General features: G+C 40.9%; 1 protein-coding gene across 27 annotated transcripts in view, besides 1 other annotated feature; it reads left to right on the top strand.

Annotated features, from left to right (window-relative positions):
- The window catches only part of ODAD2 (outer dynein arm docking complex subunit 2), a 187508-nt gene extending 162468 nt beyond the window's left edge, over positions 1-25040 (top strand). For 14 of the 27 annotated variants that reach the window (XM_047425404.1, XM_047425414.1, XM_047425413.1 and 11 more), the window contains one exon: positions 24583-25040. In XM_047425404.1, coding sequence (XP_047281360.1) covers positions 24583-24696 — 114 coding nt within the window. In that variant the 3' untranslated portion in view covers positions 24697-25040. Of the gene's footprint in view, positions 1-1167; positions 1228-24582 lie in introns of all 27 variants that reach the window. The other 13 variants (XM_024448052.2, XM_047425408.1, XM_047425405.1 and 10 more) reach the window with 1 other exon arrangement.
- Positions 24598-24767: an enhancer, noted in NCBI's record as "experimental_12116 CRE fragment used in MPRA reporter constructs". NCBI's record gives its function as "activates a minimal promoter by MPRAs in K562 erythroleukemia cells, with activity observed for both the introgressed and non-introgressed 10:28101455 variant alleles {active_cell/tissue: K562}" and the evidence as "EXISTENCE:reporter gene assay evidence [ECO:0000049][PMID:34662402]".

The raw sequence follows: 25073 nt of genomic DNA, 5'->3' as shown, positions 1-25073 counted from the left end.
ACAGGGCAGCACAGACAGGGGTGGGAGCATCCTTGCTGTGACCCAGAGAGGCAGCCGAGATGCTGGTGTCTTTTAACGGTGGAATTGTGTGGACAACAAATTTTCCCTCAGGATGAATATGACCTTTCTTGCATCAGAATTTGTCTTCAGTTACACTCCTACGAGTCCCAGAAATCCTCACGGTGGGCAGTTTAGGATCTGGAAAGGCAACTCAAGAGCCTGACTTAAGCGACATTCCCTGCAAAGCCAGGGAAAATCCTGATTTATATCTTTGAGGCTTAGTCGTGAACTGCTGAGCTATACTCTTTAGGTTTGATGTTTATGAAATAAGTCCTCTGTGTTTCAACACCATTTCAAGTTTTTGCTCTGATAATTATTCAATGAAATTAACAATTGATTAACCAACATTATTAATCAATCAATTGATAGTAATTATTATAATTAATTAAGTCAAAACCACTAATATGGCTTAAGTGTATTTTTCGTATTCCTTGAAATCCTAAAGAAATTATGTCCTACCATAAAACTAATGATTTGAGAGTCAACCATAAAGGTAAGAACCCTGCAAGCTCATAGGCCCTAAAGCTGCCACAGGCCATTTTTCAAGAGTTGGAACATCAGAGGTTTCTAATGTACTTTTTATAGGATATAGCAGTGACTTGTTTGCAAATTTAGATGAGTTTTGCAAAAAATCATTTTAGATGGTATAGATATGTTTACATATTAGTATAATTTAGGAAGATGTCCCCAAACTCTCTCATTGATCAAGTTTAGAAAACTGATAAATCTTTTTTATTTAATGACGTAAAAAAGACAGGATGCAGGGAAATGAGTGTGTGTTTGGTGTTAGCAGATCTGGGTTTGGATTCTGGCCCTGAGTTCTGCTGCCAAGTCACCCAGCACCACTGGTCTCTGTGTCCTTATCAGTTCTATGAGGATGATAATATTTTCCTCAAAGAGTTATAGGAAAGATGAAATACCTTTCTATATACACACACATATACATGCATATGTATTCAACTGTGTATATGTACTGAATATATATACAGTTGACCCTTGAACAGCATGAGTTTGAAGTGCATGGATCCAATTTTATGCAGATTTCCTTCTGACTCTGCCACCCCTGAGACAGCAAGACCAACCCCTCTTCCTCTTCCTCCTCTTCAGGCTACTCAACGGGAAGATGACGAGGATGAAGACCTTTATGATGATCCACTTCCACTTAATGTATAGTAAATGTATTTTCTCTTCCTTATGATTTTCTTTTCCTTTTTTTTTTTTTGATGGGATTTTCACTCTTGTCACCCAGGCTGGAGTGCAGTGGTGCAATCTCGGCTCACTGCCACCCCTGCCTCCCGGGTTCAAGTGATTCTCCTGCCTCAGCCTCCCGAGGTAGCTGGGGTTACCAGTGCCTGCCACCATGCCCAGCTAATTTTTGTATTTTTAGTACAGACAGTGTTTCGCCATGTTGGACAGGCTGTTTCTTCCTTATGACTTTCTGCATAACATTTTATTCTCTGTTAAACTTCTCTTATTTTAAGAATACAGTATATAATATACATGATATACAAACTAGGTGTTGATCGACTGTTTATGTTATTGTTAAGGCTTCTGAGCAACAGTAGGCTATCAGTCCTTAAGATTGGGGGCAGTCAAAAGTTATATGTGGGTTTTTGACTGTATGAGGGCGTGGTGCCCTAACTCACATTTTTCAGACATCAACTGTACAGAGAGAGAGAGAACACACCTGCCTCACAGTGGGTGTATCTGAATGTTGCTGCAGCGGTTGTTGTTGTTATAGGAGTAGAATTGTCAAGTTCAGGCTACAGGTGTGAGATGGGTGACTTTCGAAGTTGCTCTTTCTCACATCTCACCTCCCTGAATTAAAGTCCCGTTCCTGTACATTGAACCAACTCAGACAGCAGGTATTCAGTCCTCAGCCTCTCTGTTTTCCACTATAGACAGAATTGGAGGTGCTGGCTTCAGCAGCCCATCTCCTCAGGGCCAAGAAGCCATGTAGATGGGTCCTGTGTCTGTGGCAGGATTTGACGCTCCTCCAAGGGCCTGCTGGTGGGACTGTGCCGGCCTTGAGAGTGGTTTTGTTCTCTGCCCTGCCCTGCCAGGACGCAGGGCCACGCGATGTCTACAAGTACGGATGTGCTGTGCCGCAACCCCTGCGCCTTCGGTTGTGTGTTCTGTCGGGCCTGGGTGACCTTGTGAAAACTCAGAGCCACATCACAAGGTCACTGACAGTGTAGAGCTGCATAATATAGGATAGCTCAGGTTTCCATCCACAACTACAGAAAAACTTTCCATTAAAATCGGAGCTTCCAGGCAATTTCTTTGGAGACTCTATGACTTAGGTGTGTTCTGCATGCAGAATTTGGGCTGTTGGTAAACAAGGACATCTGAGAATTAAAAGAGAGAATCACTAGGAAACCTCAGCTTGTATTTACCCTAATCAAGCCTTCTCTGTAATAGCCTTTTCTGCAAGCAGATACCCATAAATCTGTCACTGCTCTTTTGAAAACACTAGCATGGCTTCCCTTTGCTTTAAACAAGCCCTTTCACGATCTGCCCCCTGCCTGCCTCTCCATCGTTATCTCACTCCTTGCCCCCACCATCCTTCCTCGTAGCACAGTCCCCTGGATGTCCACCAACCTTCATCCTCCCCTCTTTGATGATAGCACATGGCAGCCAGCCAGAGAAGATGCTTCTCAGCTTCCCTTGAGTCTTGGTGTGGCCGTGTGATGATTAGGTTATCACCAATGGGAAGTGAGAAATGATGCATGCTGTTTGTGTTTCTTGCCCTATGTAAGGGATGCCTGTGGTGTCACGGGTTGTATGTCTATTCCAGAAGGCCAAGGGATAGCGCCTTTGGAGCAGCTTTGGACTCATTGAGATTGGCCAACACAATGAAAGTGGCAGAGCGATGCTACCAGCCCTAGACCACATGCACGTATAATGTTACGCCAGGGAAAACAACCTCCTAGATTATTTCAATCACTACATTTTAGAGTTTTTAGGTTAAAACAGTTTATCCTGGACTCAAATCAATGCATTCATAGGACTTGTCTTGGCAATCATCTGCTACTTTTGTGTCCTTTGGTGGGTTGTCAGTGACACACCGGGATGTCCAAGCTGGAGAGCAGAGCAGGGCCTGGATGTCACTCACCTTCTGGCCAGCACCTTGGTGCTGCACACACTGCAAATCCCTGTAAGGTGGCGCCATGTGGAACCTTCACCGCTGTCCTTTCTCGGCTTGGAATGTTCTCCCAATCCCCATGTTACACAGTGCTTTGTTCATAACCATCTTTCAGGTTTCAGATTTGCTCTTGTTCTTCAGGGAGGTGTACCTTTACCTTGCTGTCTGTAGTCGCCCAGGACTTGCACGTCTCTTCTTCCCAATTGTAACAACATAATTGTGCATCTCAGTAAACTGCAAGACCCCTATGGAAGTCAAGCCTTTCTTGTCTACTCCTGCATTTCCAGGAACTAGTTCAGTGCCTGCCACAGAGCAGAACATAGCAGATATTTGTTGAATGAAGCAATGAACTATTTTCCCCAATTTTTTGTCCCACACATAACCATAATATCCTAATATCAAAATACTCTTCAAATGTGAAGACAAAATAAAAAGTATTTGAGGAGAGATACATACTTACAATATTTTTCTTCTACGTAGCCACATAAGCCACAGAGTTTAAATTGTTTATTTTAATTTTTAAAGAATACAGGGAGGGGCTGAGTTCCTACGATGCATTTTATTTCCAATGCTGTATTTTCCGTGCTGCTAGAGAAGTTTAATTTTCCTCCTTGATTTTTTTTTTCAGTTTGTACCCTGGAAAAGTAAGGTGATAAATACAGGCAATCATTGCGAAGTACGACTATTGCCGGGTGCTAATGTTTTCAAATTGCTGATGATTTTTAGGGACACCACAAACTGGCCACACTGTCAGAAGCATTTGGCAGTCATAACTGGCAGCAATAAATCAGACTGTAAATTTAGAAAGCATGCACTGTATTTGAGAATGCATCCCAGAGTCACCTCTAAATATGTCATGGCCATATAGCTGGGGTTCAGAGTAAATTGAACTACCCTTCATTATGTATTTTGTGGTATATGAAAAACTTCAAAAAGCACGGCCAGGCAAGGGGGAAAGCCAATCTCTTAAGGTAACAATTTCATCACAGATTCCACCTGCCCCTGCCAAGTTGGAAAAGCCATATTGCACTGATGCTTTCCTCATATATCCTTCGACTTTACTAAAATAATTTGAAAAAAATTATTCCTATTACTTATTCTTTTCATGATAAGTCGGATAATTTTCTCAGTAGCTGCTTAGGTCACAGTAAAATGATATGCTGAAAAAGAGATGTTTAGTTCTAACCCACGAGAGCTTTAGTATAGCATGGGACCATGATAAATAGGATACCCATTGTGAGTGTATCCTGCTGAAATGCAACATTAAGTCCTTTTGCCATATGTGTTGAGCAATAACGTTTAAGGAGAAAAGTAGCATTCCTGGTCACGTGTGCTCTGGTAATTCATGAAATGTGCTAACCAGTAACACCAAAAGGAGCCCGCCAGATCATTATGTAGATTTCCAGGATGTTTTTGACAAAGTTCTATACCAAAGTAATTGAAAAGAAATGTGTGTGTGTGTGTGTCTGTGTGTGTGTGTGAACAACATGGGTGGGGGGAAAGTTGAGCTTGTGGATAATTAGAGAACCTGGCTGCGATACAAGGGACAAGAGAGAAAGTAGTCAGCTAGCAGCATGTGACATATTCCTGGACAGTATGCTTCTAGGGTTGGCACTAGGAATAATCTTATTGAAGAAGCTAAAGGTATTTGAAAGAGGGCATGCGTGATAAAATCAAGTCTGTGTACAAGTAAGGTGTGAGAAACATCAAACCAGAGAGACCCAGAGACATTGTGTCCAGGCAAAAGAGTGATTAATAAGTTTCATTGTGTACCAGAGAATTATTCAAGGATATGTTTTAAGGATTCTGAGTTGAAATCAGTGAAAGGTTCCGAGGAGTGGTTTTTAAATCTTCTCAGCCTCATTCGTTGCTGCAGCTGAAATACGCCAAGCATCTGAACTTCAAAATACTGTTTATTGAGTTACCTCTGTGTTAGCCCCTGAAGATACAAAGATGAAAGTATGTGGTCCAGCCTTCAGGGGAAGCCCCGAATATGCTTGACTGTGAGTCCAATGTTGTGCAGGAGCAATGATGCACTGTGGGTCAAGGCAGGCACCTAGAAGGGTGACCCTCAGGTAGGTCCTGGTGCCCTCACAGACTGCATATGGCATGCAGGGGAGAGGGGAGCCACATATACCCATGGACCCACAGGGAGGGTTTGCAGAAACAAACAGGCTCCATTGAGTAGAACAACTGCAAACATAAAGACACACAGCTGGGACTACAGAGTATGAGCATGATGGCCAAAGGGCCAGAGAGGACCAGCTATGCCTCAGAAAATGCCAACCCCAGGCATCCAAGAATGAGGCCAGGCCAGCTGCCTCTGTGTGGGCACGTACGCCAAGGGAGGCCATCTGTATGGCAGATAAGAGCATGGAATCTAGGGCTTGGGTTCAAATCCTGACTTTGCCAAGATCTGCAACTTTGGGCAAGTTGCTTAATCTTTCTATGCCATGGTTTCCTCATCTCTACATTGGAACGTTAATAATAAAATTTAGCTAGGTTTGCTGAGAACTTCAAATGAATCAGTATCTTATAAGGCACTTTGAGTAGTGCCTGATACATGGTAAGCACTCACTGTGGAAGTGTTAGCTATGGTTCCTATTGTCCTTTTCCTTCTTGAAGGTTCTCTAGCCCCTCTGCCTTTCCTGGGTCTATAACGGTGGATTTGGGCAGGGGAATGTCGTTTTCGGTGATGATGAAAAAATGTACAGATTTAATATTTTATAAATGTTGCCTCCAATTCATAGAGCATTTGAATTAGTATCAAAAAAGAACAAGGAATTGTTCTGATAGATCAGAGTCCATCAGTGTTGCAGGCCGAGGTAGCATTATCTGCAGAGGTAAGGATGCATCCAAGCACAAGGCAGATGGACTTCTGGGAGCACTGTCTCCTGGGCCGTTGGCCTCCAGATCCCTCCTCATGCCTCTTCCCTCCCCCATCCACTCCTCCAGGGCTGGACTGTGTTTTTCTCATGGTGCCTTTAACATCACATCTCAGCTGATCAGCAGTATCTCTACCTGATAGAACAAAGGAAAAAGGACCTGTCCACCTGCCAAACTTATCCAAAAGATGTACTAGAGAAAAACAATTATTTAAAGAATCTTGCCAGAAGTATAAGATGTGCACTGAAGACAGCCATATTAACACAAAATAAGTATTGGCATGAATAAGCCATTTCAGTGCCCCAGATCCAAACTGATATTAAAGTAAGATCAGTATTGAAGGAATGACTTTATTGAATCTCCATCAGGAACTCTGGGTTGGTCCTGGAAAAGGCTTAGAGATACAATCCACTCCAGTGCTCCAGGGAGAATATTCAGACGAGTCAGTATAACATAAAAATTATGCTCTTCATGTATCATTTTAGGGGGCCCCCAATGGAGACCTTCCTAAATAGAACTGTTTCACTAGGCTGCCTGAAATGCACGTATGATATTGCCACATAATTTGAAATTTCATAAGTTAAAGATTTGGCTGAAAAACTCTCTTCTCTAAAATTTGTAAACACACATTTTAAATCTGGGAAGATTAAGCAAGGCTATCTATCAGCCACATAAAACTCGGTAGGCATGTGTTTAAACTGTGTTCTTCCAAGTATCGAGTTGAGACTCTCAGAATGAGAGAATGAGAGCTTCAGGGACTATGGTGCAGTGGTTTGGGGCAATTGTTAGAAGAGTAAGTGCAGATTGAGCAGATTTGTGTGGAATGAATGGAACATGAGGAGGCTACTGTCACCAGGTAGGAGTGAGCAGCAAGGGGAGGTGTTATGTGGTGAGAAAGACATTCCGGGAAACCAGGAGGTGAGGAGACCAAGGATTAGGCTCCACTCCTATTATGAAGATGAACAGTTTTTAGAGTATCATGGAGTTGGAGAAGGTACTTCAAGGATCTCTATGGGGAGCAAGAAGGAACAGCTAAGTTCCACCATCCTGTGCCCTACTTTCTGTTCAGACGTTCCATTTTATCCTACATATGTATGTTCACATATATGTGGATTTCATAGAAGAATTAAGTTTTGTCTGGGGGAAAAAAGAAATGGGTTCCACTGCTTACATTTTTTTTTTTTTAATTACTGCCTGAATACCTTGCTTAGGGCCAGTCCTGAAGCTCTGAAAACCTAAGTTGGCAAAAATCATGTAAGATGGGCTCTGAAATGAACACAGTCTTTGCCAGAGAGGAAGAAGTATTATTCTGTTCTAAAACTCATTCAGTTTCTTTCACTGAAATGTGAAGTTCTTATATAGATGAAATTGAAAAGCATCATTTTATAACATTTTAGCAAAAAGACAAATTAATATCTAGTTGCTTATTAAAATGTTAGGGGATTATTAGGGGGCTTTTTCAGAGTGGGTAGAAACATTGCTTTGTGAAATTTTACGATAATATGTTTTAGGTTTCATTTTTAAAGGTCTTAGACAAGTCCTGTTAGAAATAAGTTATAAAAAAGAAATAACAACCACATTTGACATATGCCTTCCAAAAATTATATGAGACAAGGAAAACATTCCTCAAATTGGTAGCAAATGACAAGACAGACTCTGAAGATACACTTGATATCAACAGGGTAAATGGAAGGAAAGGCCAAGGAGGCCTTGAGAATGAGGTTAAGTCAACGGGAGTTTGAAAAAAGCAATTACTGGACCAAAAGAATCTTTCACTTAAGGTTATTTCCCAAGAAATTAGTCATTTATTTTCATCTTTATGAGTTTAGTTCCGATTTAGTAGGAGCAGGGAAAGCTATTTATTTGACATCGAAGAAGAAAAATTGTGCTCTTCTTTCCAGCCCTGTACTTTATTTTTTCTATATTAATCTGCTTTTGAACGCTGAACCAAAATCAAAATAAAATTAGGAAAATAGCTTAACAAAAGGATTTTGTTTCTTTTTTTTTCCTTTTTAATTCTCTGGCTTCATCTCTTCTGGATAATATCTGTTCTAATTTTATCCACATGAGGGATGAATTCTATATCCCATCATGTATTTTAAATATTGGCTTGTCTTTGGTTTCGAATTTCTTCTAATAATGTGCCCATTTTGGAAGACAGATACATATAAAGGCAAACATAACATTAGGAACTTATACTTTTTCTAATGTTAAGGAATACTGTGGAACTAATTATTCATTTTTAATATGGGTATAATTTAGAGAATTCTCAGTTTGGCTTTTTTCTTATATTAAACAATTTTGAATTTTTCTTACTTGGTAAGATTTGACAGTTTTGCAGCAGATTACACAAATTCTTAGCATTTCCTAGAGTAAAGTTATAAACCAAAACAAAATTATTTCATGGAAAGCTTCTTTATATAATCAAGGTAATTGTTTTCTAATAAATGGTGCATATCTTTTATTGCTTTAAAAATATTTCCTTGTTAAATTATGAACATAACCATATGTCTGCATTAAGTAGGGATATTACTCAGATGGATTTGCCTTTGATATTTAAGAAAATGAAGTAAAAGCCAGAAAATACCTCAACTTCCTGTCCCACACCTACAAACTTACCTGTAGTTACCTTCAGTCTAATCATCTTCCTTCTGGTCTTTGAATATTCCTTCTCCCGGCCTTTCCCATCCTCCGTAATGGTGATCTCATTTTGACTTCTCCAGAAGCTGGAAGTTCTGACACTGACTATTCCCTCTCACTTCTGCATATTTAGCCTTAATCTTCCTTTCCCTACTTGCTCATCTCCTAACTCCCTATCAGTTGATCACACCCACTGGGGAAATCATCATATCAGGGAAGTAGCATTCTCTCAAGAGCCTCCTTGCCCCAGCTGCTCCTAGCTCTTCAGCTCACTGTCTTCTGACTTTTGCCTTAGAAACTTCAGAGATGTCCCTATCAATGATCCCTAGGATTTTCAAATGTCAGAATCCAAGGGACTGTTTTCATCTTTCATGGAATTTAACCTCCCCGAGGCATACTATAATATTGACATCCCCATTTCCTTAAAGTGTTGCCTTTCACTGGTTTCTATGATTTCATGGCCTCCTGGTTCTCCCCTTCCTCTCTGATGACTCCTTATCTCCTCTGCATCTCCTTCTGGCCAATCCGCTTGCTAGAACTTTTAAAGTAGCACAAGTAATATATAGTCACAGAAAAAAGAAGAGAAGCTAAAGATGAACAGAAGGGGACAATATCACTGGAGCCTGCCGAAGACCCTGTGAACCTTTCTGGGGAATTAAAATTTGACATTGGGGAGCCATTAAAATATTTTGAGCTGGAGAATCAGTGGGTCCTATTGACCCTTTAGAAGTTACTCTGGTTTGAGAATGGATGGGAACGGGGCTGGAAGATGAGTTAGGCAGTCGTCCAGGGAGAGAGAATGGTGGTTGCAACTAAAATGATATCCCTGGAGATGAAGAGAAATGGGTGGATTCAAGAGATAATTGACAAGTAAAAACAAGAGGAGTTTGTGACATTTTGGATGTGATGCCTGGGGAAGAGGGCAGAGTGATGATGTCTAAATGTCTGACTTGGACAGCAGGATTTAAGGAGGAGAGAAGAAATCTGCTTGTGGGGGGAAATGAGAGCTCATTTGGGACACAATGGCTTTGAACATCTTGGAAAACTTAAAGCAGAAACATGGAATATATATATATATATATATATATATATATATAGTGTGTGTGTGTGTATGTGTGTGTCTGCTATGTATATATGTCCTTAAAAACACAGATTTGAGAGCAGTAGTTCATGAAATAATGAGAGTGAATGACATTTCCTTTGGAGGGTGTATAGACAAAAAAATGAGGTTGAAGGACATACCATGATGTCCTGAGTCATATCATAATGGGTTAAGAAAGGGATTCCTGGAAAGAAGCAATTAAATATTAAAGAGGTGAAAATACTAACAAACAATCAGGAAAGTGTTATTTTCACAAAGTCAAGAGAAGAGAATATTTTAAGCACAAGAGCATGACCAATGGGACAAGTGTTATTGAAAAGTAATGTAAGACAAGAACCAAAAGTGTCCCCTGGATGCATAGCAAAGCGATTACGAATGGCCTTGAATAAGAAGTGAGGAAATAGGGGCAGCAAGTGGAGGTCACCCTTGGAAAAGTTTGGCTGAGAAGGAGAGTGAGGATGTTAGCTGGAAAGTGGTAGCTGGAGAGTGAGGATGCTAGCTGGAAGGGGAGGTAAAGGAGGTCTTGGTGGTTTTCCATTGTTTGTTATGTTTCTGTTCTGAGATAGCAGATATGTTTAAATGTTAATTGGCAAGAGCAGGAAGGAGGGTGAAAGAGGCAGTGAAAATACCGGAAAGAGGGGGGTTAATGGCGCAGTCAGCTTCCAGAGGATGTGGAGAGGGAGGCAGGAGGATGCAGAGCATGAGGGCAAGGAGATGAGCCTGGGCAGGAGGAGACACCTCTTCCACATGACAGATGGGAGGAGGAAAGGACGGGTGCACTTGCAGCGGGAATCTGTGCGTGTGGTGGCAGTGAGTTGGGCCACTTCCCTTTTCGTGATTTCTATTTTCCCCACCAAGTAGGAGGCAAAGACATATGCTTGAGAGTGAGGGAACTGAAGTGGTGGGTTAGGTAATTTGAGGAGAGTGGAGCCGGTTTTAAATAGCTGCTGTGGAGAAAGTTGATGAGAGAGACACCTGGGTGGATGACCGGGCAACACGGAGAGCCGATGGAAATTAGAGATCATAATGTGTGTGCCATTGCTGCAATGGATGTACATGATCCGGAAGCCTGGTTGAGAGCCAGGATTTCAATTTGTAATATCACTATAGGAGAAGAATGATAGAGAACAGAGAGTCAAACCTGGTGACAGAAAAGCAGGTGTCATGGTGGACCAGAGCAGGGAGACTGCACTGGTAGATCAGTGCCTCTTGATGTTCTTGATCCCATTCTGCGTCCTCCAGAACCTGGAATTTCTGATAGACAGCAACGAGAGGCAGAGATGAAGCAGTCACTGGTATTACTAAGGTCCGGGTATGACCATAATAATGGTTGATTAATTAATGTGGAATTGAAGTGAAGATCAATGGAGTTGAGGAGGTCAAGGTCTGAAGTTAGAGGCGAGGTGCTTGGAGGAAAATATTTTTGTCTTGTTTGTTTTCTATGAGGATGAGGTGTCATTTTCAGTTATGATTTTATTCATATATTAGAAAAACAGATTCAGTAGCTCAGGTGTTAACAAGGGCTACTGTTCCACTTATTGTGTAGGAAACATTGGCTCAAGTCTCTTTCTGCTTTCCATGCCCTAGGCAAAGTCTAATTTGTAAAGGATTCCAAATATTGCCACAGACATCTCCAGCTTCTGATAACCTTATCCAGGCTATGGATTGTCTTGTTCCTGTACCTGTTGTCCCTATCCTATGTGGAGCTGACCTAGATTTGGAACTCAACCCTTTTTACCTGTCCTCCTCATTAATAGCTTAGTCATGAAGACAACAACCAAACCAAAACATTTTCATAAGGTCATTGTGTACAAAGCAGAAGTAGTCAAAGTTTTGAAGTGATGGAAGGACATATACATTGCAGCAATTCCAGCAACTTCTGAGTTCAGTATTAGGCATGTCAGTTCTTAAAAAGACTCATGGCCATTTCTAAAGGAGGCTACCATCCTCCCAGATCACTAAGTTGTCTTTTCTCTTCTCTGCTGTCTCCCCTTGAAGAGAAAGAAAGGTTTTATTACATTCTGAATCTGAGCATTTTTGTTTTCGCTAGGCTGCACCTTTAAAGTCAGCTCCAGATCTTTTTGCGTATTGAGAACTTGGCCTAATCATTAAATTCAGTTCAAGAGATAGTAGTGGCTCAGACCAGTGATGGTAATGGGAAGATGTCAGGACAGATTCTGGGTTTATTTTGAAGGTAAAGCCAACAAATTTTGTTCATGGCTTGGATAAGGGCTATGAGAGAAAGAGAGGAGTCAAGGATACACCAAGATTTTCAGCCCAAGCAACTAGAGAGATGAGTTGGCATCAGCTGAGTAGGGGAGGCTGTGGGAAATAAGGTTTGAAAGGGGAGGATTAGGAGTTCAGCTCTGTCCCTTTTGAGGTGTCATTTTTATATCCAAGTGGAGATGTCAAGTAGGAAGCTGAATAGTCTAGAGTTCAGGTCAGGGCTGGAGACTTAAAATTCTGGGGAAATCTCAGTAAAATCCAGCTTGTTCCACTGTTTGACTATTTTATACATACAACCTTTCCCCAAGAAATCTATTTCCAAATAGTCTCTCAGAAAATGGATCTAACAACAGAATACAGACAGCCAACAGATTTTCAATCTCATGCCAATGGGAGAGAACCCAAGTTAAATGCAGGCACTATATTCAGAGTTTATATCAAGAGGGCAATTTTCTTACAGTCTGGAGGAAACCTATGGATTGTTTCAAATAAAGAGATCTATGGATCGTTCTAGATAATTTAATTCATGTCTTTGCTTACCTGTGGGGTTTTAGTCCATTTTCTGCTGCTATAACAGAATATAGACTGGGTAATTTATGAGGAAAAAAAATTATTTCTCACAGTTCTAGAGGCTGGGAAGTTCAAGAGCATGGCACCAGCATCTGTCAAGGGTCATTCCATGGCAGAAGGGCAGTAGGTGGAAGCAAGTACATGAGACAGAGAGCAGATGGGGGCCAAACTTACCCATTTATTAGGAGCCCAACCCCCCTGTAACAGCATTAATCCGTTCATAAGGGCAGAGCCCTCAGGTCTTATTCACTTCTTAAAGGCCCCACTTCTTAATACTGTTACAATGTCAATTAAGTTTCAGCATGAGTTTAGAAGGGGACAAAATTCAATCCATAGCAGGATTTGATGTTCTCCTAGACTAGAGACTGATACAAGAGAAAACAGTAATTTGAATAAGAACTTATTGAACTATTTTTTTTTTTTTTTTTTTTTTTTTTTTTGAGACGGAGTCTCGCTGTCGCCCAGGCTGGAGTGCAGTGGCGCAATCTCGGCTCACTGCAGGCTCCGCCCCCTGGGGTTCACGCCATTCTCCTGCCTCAGCCTCCCGAGTAGCTGGGACTACAGGCGCCCGCCACCTCGCCCGGCTAATTTTTTGTATTTTTAGTAGAGACGGGGTTTCACCGTGTTAGCCAGGATGGTCTCGATCTCCTGACCTCGTGATCCGCCCGCCTCGGCCTCCCAAAGTGCTGGGATTACAGGCGTGAGCCACCGCGCCCGGCCTGAACTATTTTTATGAACATAGAGATGTGTTAGTTCTAATGCCTTGACTTTTGTTTTTGACTATCTAACGGGACACCATGAACCTTATGTTAATGTATTAATTTTCAATGTAACTAGATTAAAATTGCTTATTTGGATCAGTCCAACAGGAACTGTAGCAGAGAAAATGAGCTAACAGCAAATATTAATGCCTCTGGTCAACAACAGTCTCCAAGTCAATATAACAAGAGTAATAATAATAACAACTATAATTTAGGGGCACATAGCATGAGCACTTTACATTACGTTTCCCATTTAATCCCATATCTATCTTATTAGGAAAGTACTATTAAAAATCCTAATTTTACTGATAAGAAAACTAAGGTTTAGAGAGAGTTACCTCAGGTCACATACAGTTAGGAAGATGTGAAGTCAGGATTCAAATTCAGACTGTCTGAACTCAAAGCATAAACTCATAGCCACTTTACTGCATAATCTATGGGAATATTTTTTTCCAGAGAATTGCCATCTACACTTTGATCTAACCAATAGCAAAATGCAATTCTAAACAATCTTATCCACATAGATTTTTTTAATCCATCCTTATCCTATTATTTCTTTAGCATTCTTATGTAGGAAGCCCCTATGTGTGCCAATATTCTTTATATTTAATAGGAATAAAAATCCAAGAGCAACTTGAGGCCATTCCAAATGACACCATGAGCTTCTGCCCTGGGCAGGCAGAAACTTATCACTTCCTTTTCCTCTGATATAGGGTGCTGAGCAATGTCCCACAATTCCCTGACCCAGCCAGTCATCAAGTCATTCTCCATTTCTAGCATTTTTAGAAGAAAGTCAATAGGGCTCTCTCTATTATATATCCCATTTCTACTCCCAATACTATAGACCCAATGTGCGAGTCTCCTGTCTGTCTGTTTGGGCATTAAAGCTCTCTAGTGGAAAGTTCGTGAAGAAACATGGAAGAAAACCCAGAGGATAAACTTAGGAATGTCCACACAGAAAGAGCACTGGATCCAATAAGCAGATCCAAGTTTTGCAGACATGGACCTCAGATCACACACACACCTATCACCTTGAGGAGGACAGACACCAATAAAGGCAAGCCCCTTGACTCCCTTCACTGACCAAATAGAACCAAAGGTTTTGCTCCAGCCAGCAAATGTTAAATATGTTTTGAGGCCCCCGGCTTTGGTGAGCTGTCATGTGAAATGAATTACCGAGGCTCAGAGTCTGGATGTGCAAGAAACTGCAGTGGAGCCTCTGTTGGAAGAGCAGCAGAACCCCAGCCAACTCAAATAGTTGGGAAGCCATTCCATAGGCGGACACAGTCCAAAGGCATTTCTTGTTACTGGGTTGTGCATGAGTGCTACAACGTCACTGCAATGCCTTGTAAACAGGAGAATGTCAGAAGGGTTCCCAGTTCAAATCAGCTCTGGGCACTTAAGATCTTTTGGGAAAACCCCTAAGCCTGGTAGGCATTCCAGAGCTCATCCAGCTCTAATTAAAACTCCTGATTCTAGGCTGTGTTCACCCAAACAATGTCAAGTCAAACCACAAGAAAATCTGTTATCACTCAAATTGGTACATACTTTTCATACAACTGAAATATTATATAAAATCATAAACTGTTAAATGGAAATGTAAAAATTGAATGCAGACCCAATTCCCATGCTACCTTTGTCACACCTTCCAGGAGATGTGAACTGTGGGTCACAGCTGCATGCCGAGGGCATGAACCTTAAGATCAAAGCCTTTTACACCAGAGGAAGCATTGGTGTTAACCCAATCTACAAACCAGTCCTTGTGCCTGTCCCCACGTTCTTGTTCACTCCAGTGTTGTAAAAAGTTATTTGTTTGAATGATGTTTTAAAGTGCTCTGTGCAGTTAAGTTTTCAAAAGCGTGGGGGCTAGTTTTCCTTCAGTGTATATATGAAACTCCCAATAAATTTAAAGTCTTTAGGTGTGTTTTAGGGGAGGCGGAGGATTAAAAAGAGAAAAGTTTGAAAGGAACAAGGACTTCAAAAAGGTAAGCCCCTTAGAATATTAAAACATGTCTTTATAGTTGGAAAGAAAGTCTATAGATAAAAAAATAGATACCAAAAAAGTGTATACCAATTTCATAATCACTTGTACCAAATTTGTAGTTCACTTTCCTGAGAAAACTATTCCTTTTATGTAATTATGACAAAGAGATTAGAAACTGCCCTCACCTTGCTCCGTGTGTTAGTGATTTGAAAACACGAACTGCACTTTCATTTATATTAGCTCCACATCAAATTCAGGATTTTGTACCAACTTTCTGTTGTGCGAGTATTTGCTAGTTTTAAAGAAACTAGTGCCTTAGTTTAAAGAAATTAGTGCCTTAGTTTGCTTGTGAGGCTCGTAGGAAAATGAAAACATATTCCTGAGCCCAATTCAAAACCAAGACACATATATGCTACATATTTTTCAGATGGTGGTTTGGGACAGTAACATAACCTTATTCAATTTGTAAAACACCTTTAGATGCCTAGCCCCTCTGGGTGTATAACAAAGCAATGAGTAACAGTTATTGAAAATAAAGTAAAACTCGGGAAAAACAATACAGTTAGTTAGCGGCAAAACTCAAAGAGGGTCTTGGGGGTACTTCTCAAATATTCATACCCGGAGCACACAGAAAATTCTAGACTTCCAATTCTACACCCTTGATTGAGACTGTACTTAGCTAAGTAAAATGGACAGAGCAGGCTAAATTCAGCAGTAAAGAATAAATCATAGTTCTTCAAAATAGTGGAATGCTGGCTGGGCACGGTGGCTCACGCCTATAATCCCAGCAATTTGGGAGGCTGAGGTGGGCAGATCACTTAAGATCAGGAATTTGAAACCAGCCTGACCAACATGGTAAAACCCTGTCTCTACTAAAAATGCAAAATTAGCCGGTGTGGTGGCGCATGCCTGTAATCTTAGCTACTCAGAGGCTGAGGCAGGAGAATGGCTTGAATCCGGGAGTCAGAGGTTGCAGTGAGCTGAGATCACACCATTACACTCTAGCCTGGGCAACAGGAGGAAAACTCCATCAAAAAAAAAAAAAAAAAAAAAAAAGTTGCTGGGCTTCATTGGTTTAATTGTTAAGCTAAAATTTAACCAACCAGCATATGGGATATAGAATGAAGCCTTGTGGTTAATGTGAGAAACTTAAGGCAAAATAAATTCCCCAACAAAGAGTAATCCTCTTGGTACACTCAGGACTAGAAGTTACTCAGGTAAAGAAAAATTTAATTTATAGAATAGAGTCATAAAAAGGGTACCTGCTTAGATTAAAAGTTTTCTTCTAACGTAAGTCTTGTGAACACACAGGAGATGCTGTTTCCAGCAACCCTTATCTGGTTGACTCCGGGAATAGCCAACACACAGCAGCTTTCTGTATGCCAAACATTATGACTCATATGCTTGACACTCACAGTCCATTGGTTTATGCAGTGGGAAATTATGTAACTGGATCAAGAGTTTGGGAATAAATACAACCGACTCTTAGAAAGCCCAAGCAGAGACTGCAGAACAATGACCAGGTCTGAGGGAGGATGGGCGAAACGCAGGCTAGATTTTGACAGGCATCAGGTCAAGGGTTTCCTTTCCAAGAGAGCCGTACAGGGTGGCAGCAGCCAGTGGCATGTGGAGCCTGGGCCATTGGTGTCCATGGAGGTCAGCCAGCGACAAGGCAGGGCCTGGAGCAGGTGCTGACAGAAGCTAGACTGACCTCTGGGCCAAAATTCCCTCTTCCTTCCAAACTAACCAGGCCAGGCCTCCAGGAAATAACACCAGAACCAGACTTCTGAACTGGCAAAAGAATCACCATGAGCGTGAGTAGCATTCATGGAACGCTTGCTTTGTATTGGGCACTGGACTATGCGATTCAAATGCATAACCCATATGAAGCCAGGCTGCCTCTTGGTCCAGTCCTGATCTAAAAATGCAGTCAGAGAAACAAAAGCCTAGCAACCCAATAGCACTTGAAAGTATTTTTTTCTTTCCTTTTTTTTTTTTTTAAAGAGATAAGGTCTCTTAAATCTAGATGCATTGTGCTGATCACTCCTTCCTAGAAAAATCACTATCAAACCATAGTCAAGGGTATGGGTTTTGAGGTCACAGCAATGGCGCAATCATAGCTCACTGCAGCCTTGAAGAGCTGGGCTCAAGCCATCCTCCCGTCTCAGCCTCTCAGACCCACCCAGCTACCTAGACTACAGGCGCACGTGACCACACCTATGTCTGGTTAACTTTTTTTTTTTTTTTTTTTTTTTTTTTAAGAGACAGGGTCTCACTATGTTGCCCAAGATGGTCTTGAACTTCTGGCTTCAAGCCATCCTCCTGCCTTGGCCTCCCAATGCACTGGGATTACAGGCATCCACCCGGCCTGAAAGTAATTTGAATCCTAGTTTTACTCTCTCGAAGATAGAGAGTACAATCATGCACTATTAAGCTTTAAGTCCTTAATCTTTCATAGTATATCTCTCTCACCCCAGAGTTGCCTTTAAAATAATCTTTCTACTCCAAACCCCTCAAACTCTTCAAAACAGGGTGAAGTTCTCTTTCCCCCTTTTTCATTCCTTCTATTTCTGTTGCTCTTTTCTGTCCCATAAGGAGTCCTCTGCCCTTGCCAGTGTAAATTCCCCCGACCTGTGCTCCTCCACTCTTCCCTCCCACACACTGCAGACTTGGGTTTGCAGAAGGCTGGGGGAATCATCAGACAAAATAGGAAGGGGAAAGATCAAAGGACGTAAAGAAAGGAAGAGACTGTGAATACAGGTGTTCAAACATCTATTAAAGATGTATGTTTAATTCATCTTTGCAGTGACCCCCAGAGGTATGTGATCCCTTTACACATATGAGAAGGTTGGGTTAAGAGGTTCAGTGATGTGCCCAGTGACTGGGAGAGTCAGAGTACAGATCCAAGATGCTGTGACCTCAAAACCCATACCCTTGACTATGGTTTGATAGTGATTTTTCTAGGAAGGAGTGAACAGTATAAGGCATCTAGATTCCTTCTCAGGTAGTTGAGCTATGGACTAGGACTTTATTTCACTTCTTTCCAGATTTAAAAAGCAACAATGACCAGAACTATGAGCGGGGAGGCCAAGGACTGGAGCAGAAGCGAGGCGGGTGGCCATGAGAGGTAGATATTAGGTGGAGTTGCTGTAGCTAGCAATCTATTCTCCTCCTATTACCTAAACAACAAATATAGGGCAATTGGAGACTAGATTTTTTTCTAAATCTCATTTGCGTATGGAAATCAAGCTCTTAGTATAGGATTAGGTCCTCTAATCCAGGGCCCAGAAACACCTACAGGTAACTGGCATTATTCATTGTGATGACCTGGCTGTAATAACAAAATTCATAAAGTAATAATTATTGTCTATTAAAGTGATTGACTGTTGGGAGAGTTTTTCTGCTATATTTTGTATAACAATGGAGTCAAGACAGGGACTCATGAACCCTTATGAATCATCTACTTGGGAGAAGGAGTGAGAAAATAACTCAGGTAAAAGGGAAATTAATAACTTTAAAATCCTATAATCGAGGGGTTATACAATTATGTAATCAAAGGATCAAGTCAATCCCTTGATTATATAATTTACCAAGAAATTAGTTGGAACGTTTTGTTTTGATATAAGAAATAATTTAAAGATCAGAAAGCAGAAGTGAGGAAAAAACAGGCCCATTGGGCATAGAGACATATGAATATCAGGATCCATTGGCATCCAGGCTGGCAGCGCTCACATTCAATTATTTGGTAGTGATGTGGAAGAGTGAAATCTCCAGGCTTACAGTTGGCACTCCATACTCCAGGATAACAAAGGTTACCATGGTGGATGTGGGCTACGAGGAGGTCAGTAAAAGCCATGTGAGTATGAAAAATGGTGAATGGTGCGAAGTATGTATCTAGAAGAAATCGTCTAAATTTCATAAAGTTGTATCTGCTTTAAAGACTGTCTGTAAACAGCCATTTGATCCAGCAATCCCCCTACTGGATATATACCTAAAGGGAAAGAAATCACGGTGTCAAAAACATACCTGCACTTGTATGTGTATTGCGGCACTATTCACAATAGCAAAGATATGGAATCAACCTAAGTGCCCATTCATAGAGTATTGGATTTTTAAAATGTGGTACATATATGCCATAGAATGCCTACTCAGTCATAAAAAAGAATGAATCATGTCTTTTGCAGCAACATAAATGGAACTGGAGGCCCTTATCCTAAGTGAAATCACTCAGAAACAGAAAGTCAAAACTGCATGTTCTCACTTATTAGTGAGAGCTAAACAAGGGGTACACATGGAATAATAGACATTGGAGACCCCAAAAGATGGGAAATGGGGAGGGGGAATGAGGGTTAAAAAATTACCTATTGGGTGCAGTGTTCACTATATGGGTGGTGGGTGCATTAAAAGCCCAGACTTCACCACTGTGCAATATATGCATGTAAGAAATTTGCACTTGTACCCTCGAAATATATCCAAAATTTTTGAAAAGAATTTTAACTGTCTATACAGTAAAGTGAGGTATAAACAAAGAGATCAATAAAAATTCTGAACCATAGATCATGAGTTAAAAGTTGTGAGCTAGGAAAGGGATTTAAGTGTGAATAGCTATACAAAGACATGTAAGCCATGTGTTAGGATAACCAAAGAGAGTGGCTACTCTGTTCTTCCTGCTCGTTATTTTTTACATTATTTCCTCTTCCTACAGTGAGAGAGGGAGAATGAGAATATAAAAGTGTGTATGCATGCATGCATACATCTGTGTGTATGTATAAAACTGCATAACAGGCCGGGCACGGTGGCTCATGCCTGTAATCCAAGCACTTTTGGAGGCCGAGACGGGTGGATCACCTGAGGTCAGGAATTAGAGATCAGCCTGGCCAACATGGCAAAACCCCGTCTCTACTAAAAATACAAAAATTAGCTGGGTGTGGTGCCACACGCCTGTAATCCCAGCTACTCAGGAGGCTGAGGCAGGAGAATCACTTGAACCCCAGGGGACGGAGGTTGCAGTGAGCCAAGATGACACCACTTCACTCCAGCCTGGGCAAAAGAGCGAGACTTGTCTAAACAAACAAACAAACAAAAAACTGCATAACAATCTTATACTGACCTACATTCCCATGGTCATACCATGGATCTTGTCAATACTCAAAGGAACTTCATCTGTAAAATCTTAAACTCCAAATATCTCATTCTCAGATGAGAATGTCTTATTTTCACCCTTTTCCTATGCTTTGGTCCCACCTAAACTGTTTTCCTGCATTGTTGAGGCCTCACTTCCTAATTCTCCCAGTGATCAGTAGCCTCCTGTTTTCACTTCCCTTCCAGCCCAGCACAGACCATATGGCTGTTCAAATGAATCACAGTCCTATAATCTATTTCCTCTGTGTTATGCCTAGGATATTGAACGATGCTGGAGAAAAGGAATGATACAAAACTCCCAAGGCATGAGCCCCTCCAAACTTCCCTGTTTCCCTCATACAGAACAGAATCTTCCTTTCTCTTGAATCTCAGAAGATTGATCCTGTCTTATTTCTTCCTGTTTCTCAAAAACATTGTATCTTATTAGTGAATTTCACAATTTAGGCAATTACTCTAGATACAGTATGAATAGTTCATCAGACAGGGACAAGACAGGGTGCAGGGACAGTGGGAAGTAGGCTTTACTGGGGTGAATGACAATAGCAATAAAGAGAAGTGAATGACTTTGAAATATGTGTAGGCAGCTGAATCACAAGAATATGATAATCAGTTGGATGCAGCATAGGGGAGATGAGGGTGGGAGTGAGTGTGAGGCACGCAGATTTCCGTCTTGAACAACTAAGTGATAACATCTATTATGGATACAGGAAAATACTTGGAAAGAGATTCATGTTTATATAGAAAAAATAAAAAATTTCATTTGGAATCTATTAAGCTTGAGGTGGCTGTGAGACTTCCAAGTGGAGATGGCTAAGAAGTGTTGGATATGAAGTGTTCCATTCCAAAGAGGTTTCTGGGGTGGAGATAGAAATTTAGAAGATGGTTCCATATGAATGCCATTTGAATTCAGGTAGTGAAAGATGTCATCTAGGGAGGGGGAACAGAATGAAAACAGAAGGGGAATTTGTTCTGATGAACTCTAACAATTTTTGTTTGGGGGAAGCAGACAGAGCCATGGATGAAGATTGAGAAGATGAGAATGAATGGATACGAGGAAAAGCAGGGGAGTACGGTAGAAGAAGCCAGTGGCAGAGAAGGAGGAAGTGGCCAATTATATCAAATGCTGTTAAGGGGTCAAATAAGATGAAAACTCCTAAGTGTCCACTACTCTTAGCCACATGGAAGGAAGTTACTGACATCCTCTGAGAGGGTTATTTCAGAGGAGAGCTGAAGGCAGACAGCAGCCTGGAGTCAGTGGGATGGAATTTAAGACTGGAGATAGGAATTCCAGACAACTCTTTAAAGAAATTTGGCTATGAAGGGAAGAAAATGGGGTCAAAGTGGTGTCTTTTTGTTTTGTTTTATTTTTAATGTGTAAGACGTGTTTAAATGATAATGGAATCATTAGAAAGGAAGAGGTGAAAGCTAAAGTAGAAGAGAAACAGGGAGTATTTGGTAGTAAAATGTCCTAAGAAGAAGAATGAATGAAGAATACAAGTGGATGGTGGGCCTTGGATAGGAGAGAGCCATTGTAACTGGAAGGTAGGATAAAAAGATCTGCTAAGACGCTGGCATGGTTGCCGTTTTAGGTAGAGTTGTTGCTGTCTAATGGCTTCGATCGAGTTTATGAAGGAGACCTTATTGGTCATCTTCTGGAAATGGGGGCTAAAAAGAAGAACTGAAGATTGAAGAAGAAGGAAGATTTAAAATAGGCATTGGAAAGGGAAAGTAACCTAATGAGAGGGACACAAATTTTGATTGCTGGGCAGTGAATGAGAATCCAGTTGAGGTTGAACTGATAGAGGATGGATTTGCCTTGTTGTTGACATATGCCTCCCGCAGGACTCAGTTATTGGTGAAGGCACAGGGAAGAACAGAGTTGGATTTATGGACAGTTATGGTTTTCCTGGAGGGATGTTGTAAGGAGGTTTAAGAAACTGATAAGAGAATGATTCAAAAGACGGACTATGCAATCTAAGCTGGTTATGGAGGAAGCAAAGACGGAAGATGGTTAAAGGAAAAGTATGTGAGCCCATGGACAAGAGATCATGATGAGAACAAACAAGTAAGATGGTTGCATAGCCAAATCGTGGGAGGAGACATTGTGGTCAGAGAGTTTGGAGGTCAGACTGTTGAAAGTGATGAAAAATCAGGGCCCAGATGTAACTCTGAAGGTGGAAGGCTGAAGTGTGAAGATCAGTGACAATGGCAGGCCAAGGAACTGAGAGGGCAGACATCCTTCAGTGACCCAATTTGAACAAGATATTCTCATATACAACCTTCTAAATGTTTTGCATTGTTCCTTTCTTATTTAATCTCATTGAGACAGCCGGGTGGGAAGGGGTCCCCAGAGACTTCAAATGGCCTGCGCACTGGGAGGAATGTGCACTGGGGTGGAGCCACAGAAGTTCATGCTGTTTGCAGCAGGCAGGAGCCTGACCCCTCCTCTTCCTGGGTGATAGCTGGGATTCAATCTGCGAGTCAGGAAGTGCACCCACAGGGACTCTGGCTTTGCGGAGGGTCCCTGTTTCCCTTTTTTCCCCCATTTTGCCCAATAAATTCCATTTTTCTCCCCCTTCAAATTGTCTGTGAGCCTAATTTTTCATGGCCTTGTGACAAGGACCCTGTCTTTAGTCGAACCAAGAAGAGACTCCTACAACATCATTAATCCATCTGGAATTGCTATTTATGTATGATGTGAGATTACCATTTTTATTTTCTTCTATTTGGATAAGCAGTTGTTCTGGGGCCATTTATTGAAGAGTTATTTCATCCCAAATATCGCTTGAATTTGTTCCTTCCTCACTATCCTTACCTTTTATTCCATCCTGTCACCTCTACATGAAGTAATACAGTACCCTTCCTCCTCTTTTCTCTACAGTCTATATAATTTGCTGTAAGAGCTACCTTTCTAAAATACAAATATGATCATGTCATTCCCCTGAGTAAAGTGCTTAAATAACTTCTTTTTATTACCTATAGAGTAAAAGCCACACCCTAAGCCTGGCATATGTAAGACATCTCACGATATTTTTCTTAGTAAGATTTCTTTGCTTATCAAATCATCCTCGTTTTTTGGCATCATCCACATTTGCACTCAAATGCTATTGGGTAAAAAAATATGTGATTCAAATTTACTTTTAAAAAATCTTTTACCAGGATTATTAATTAGAATCATAATTGCTAGATTTTAAATGTTCTAATTCATTTGTTTGTCTTCTATGCATTAGATACTGTACGTTTCTTTAAGCATTTAGAATCTAAAGAAGGACAGAAAGCATTAAGCCAATTATCTGTTGAAAAGGGAAAAATACGTGTAGCAACAGACATTTGAGTAAACTGCTACTGACAGCCTGATGAGGAATAAATGGCCTTTAGTTTGATGGAAATCTTGGAGGCTTCGTGGAAAAGTTGGCTAGGTCTGTTTTGAAAGATGGATAAAATTGACCAAGCCAGAGAAGGGGATGGGAAGGCATTTTAGATAGGGGATAGCATCAGTAAAGCCAAGAGAAGTGGGAAAGTTATGATCTTGGAGAAGAGGAGAAAGATGAATAGCTGGAAATGCATTGAGGCCAGAGTGCACAAACCCTTCAAGGACTAGTTAATAGATCAGCTCTAGTTAGTTGGCACTGAGAGTCCCTATTAAGTGACTGATATAATGAGGTTGTGACATGATCAGGTGGATTGGAACTCAGAGAGATTAAACCTAAGTGGATGCCCTACTAGTCTAAGCATGGTATGCTGTTGGCTTGTTCTGAGAGGTGGAAAAGACAGAAAAGATGCAAGAGAAATTTCAGAAGCAGACCCAAAAATAGCAGTTAGATACCCAGAGAAAGTGGGGAGGAAGGAGTCTAATTCAGCTCCAGAAAGGTAAGAAGTGCATGAGGAATTCCTGTATCAGATTAAACACTGTTTATATTCGTATTTGCTTAAATGGAATTTCTTATGCTTTTTTGGTGGTTTTAAAAAAATTTACTATTGAAAATTATTTTCCTAGCCTAACTTTATGTCTTTAGATTAATGTTTTTATTCTTGTGTCCCTTCTTCTCCTCCTTATGTGTGACAGCTTCTACTGGATATGGTTGGGTCCCCTGACCAGGATCTCCAGGAAGCTGCAGCTGGTTGTATATCCAATATCCGCAGGCTGGCTCTTGCTACAGAGAAGGCAAGATACACTTGAAATTTAAATGGACATTACAAGCTATCAAATTCTACATGACACAGGACATGTCACTCCCATGGCCAGAAAGCCTAAATTGGGAAACAGTTGTTAGCAAACCCTTTCAACCATCTAAATGAAAACACACAAATTGAAAATGCACAGAATGTTTTTCATCTGAAAATTGCATGGAGACTTTTGTTTCTATTTAATGTTTTCGAGATATGACATGTGATAAGATGGAAAGCCAATAAACCTGTGATAAGTTTCTAAGAATATGAGAATATACGTATATGATGTATTTTTAGTTCAGTGATGCTTTTGTATTTGTGGCGATTTTAATAAAAAGGATATGGCCTTCCCAATGCACAGTTTCATAGTTGTTCATGAACGTCTCC

Source organism: Homo sapiens, chromosome 10 (assembly GCF_000001405.40).
Source record: "Homo sapiens chromosome 10, GRCh38.p14 Primary Assembly".
Classification (NCBI taxonomy): Eukaryota; Metazoa; Chordata; class Mammalia; order Primates; family Hominidae; genus Homo; species Homo sapiens.
Note: the sequence above shows the minus strand (reverse complement) of the source record. Positions and strands in the feature narration are given on the sequence as shown.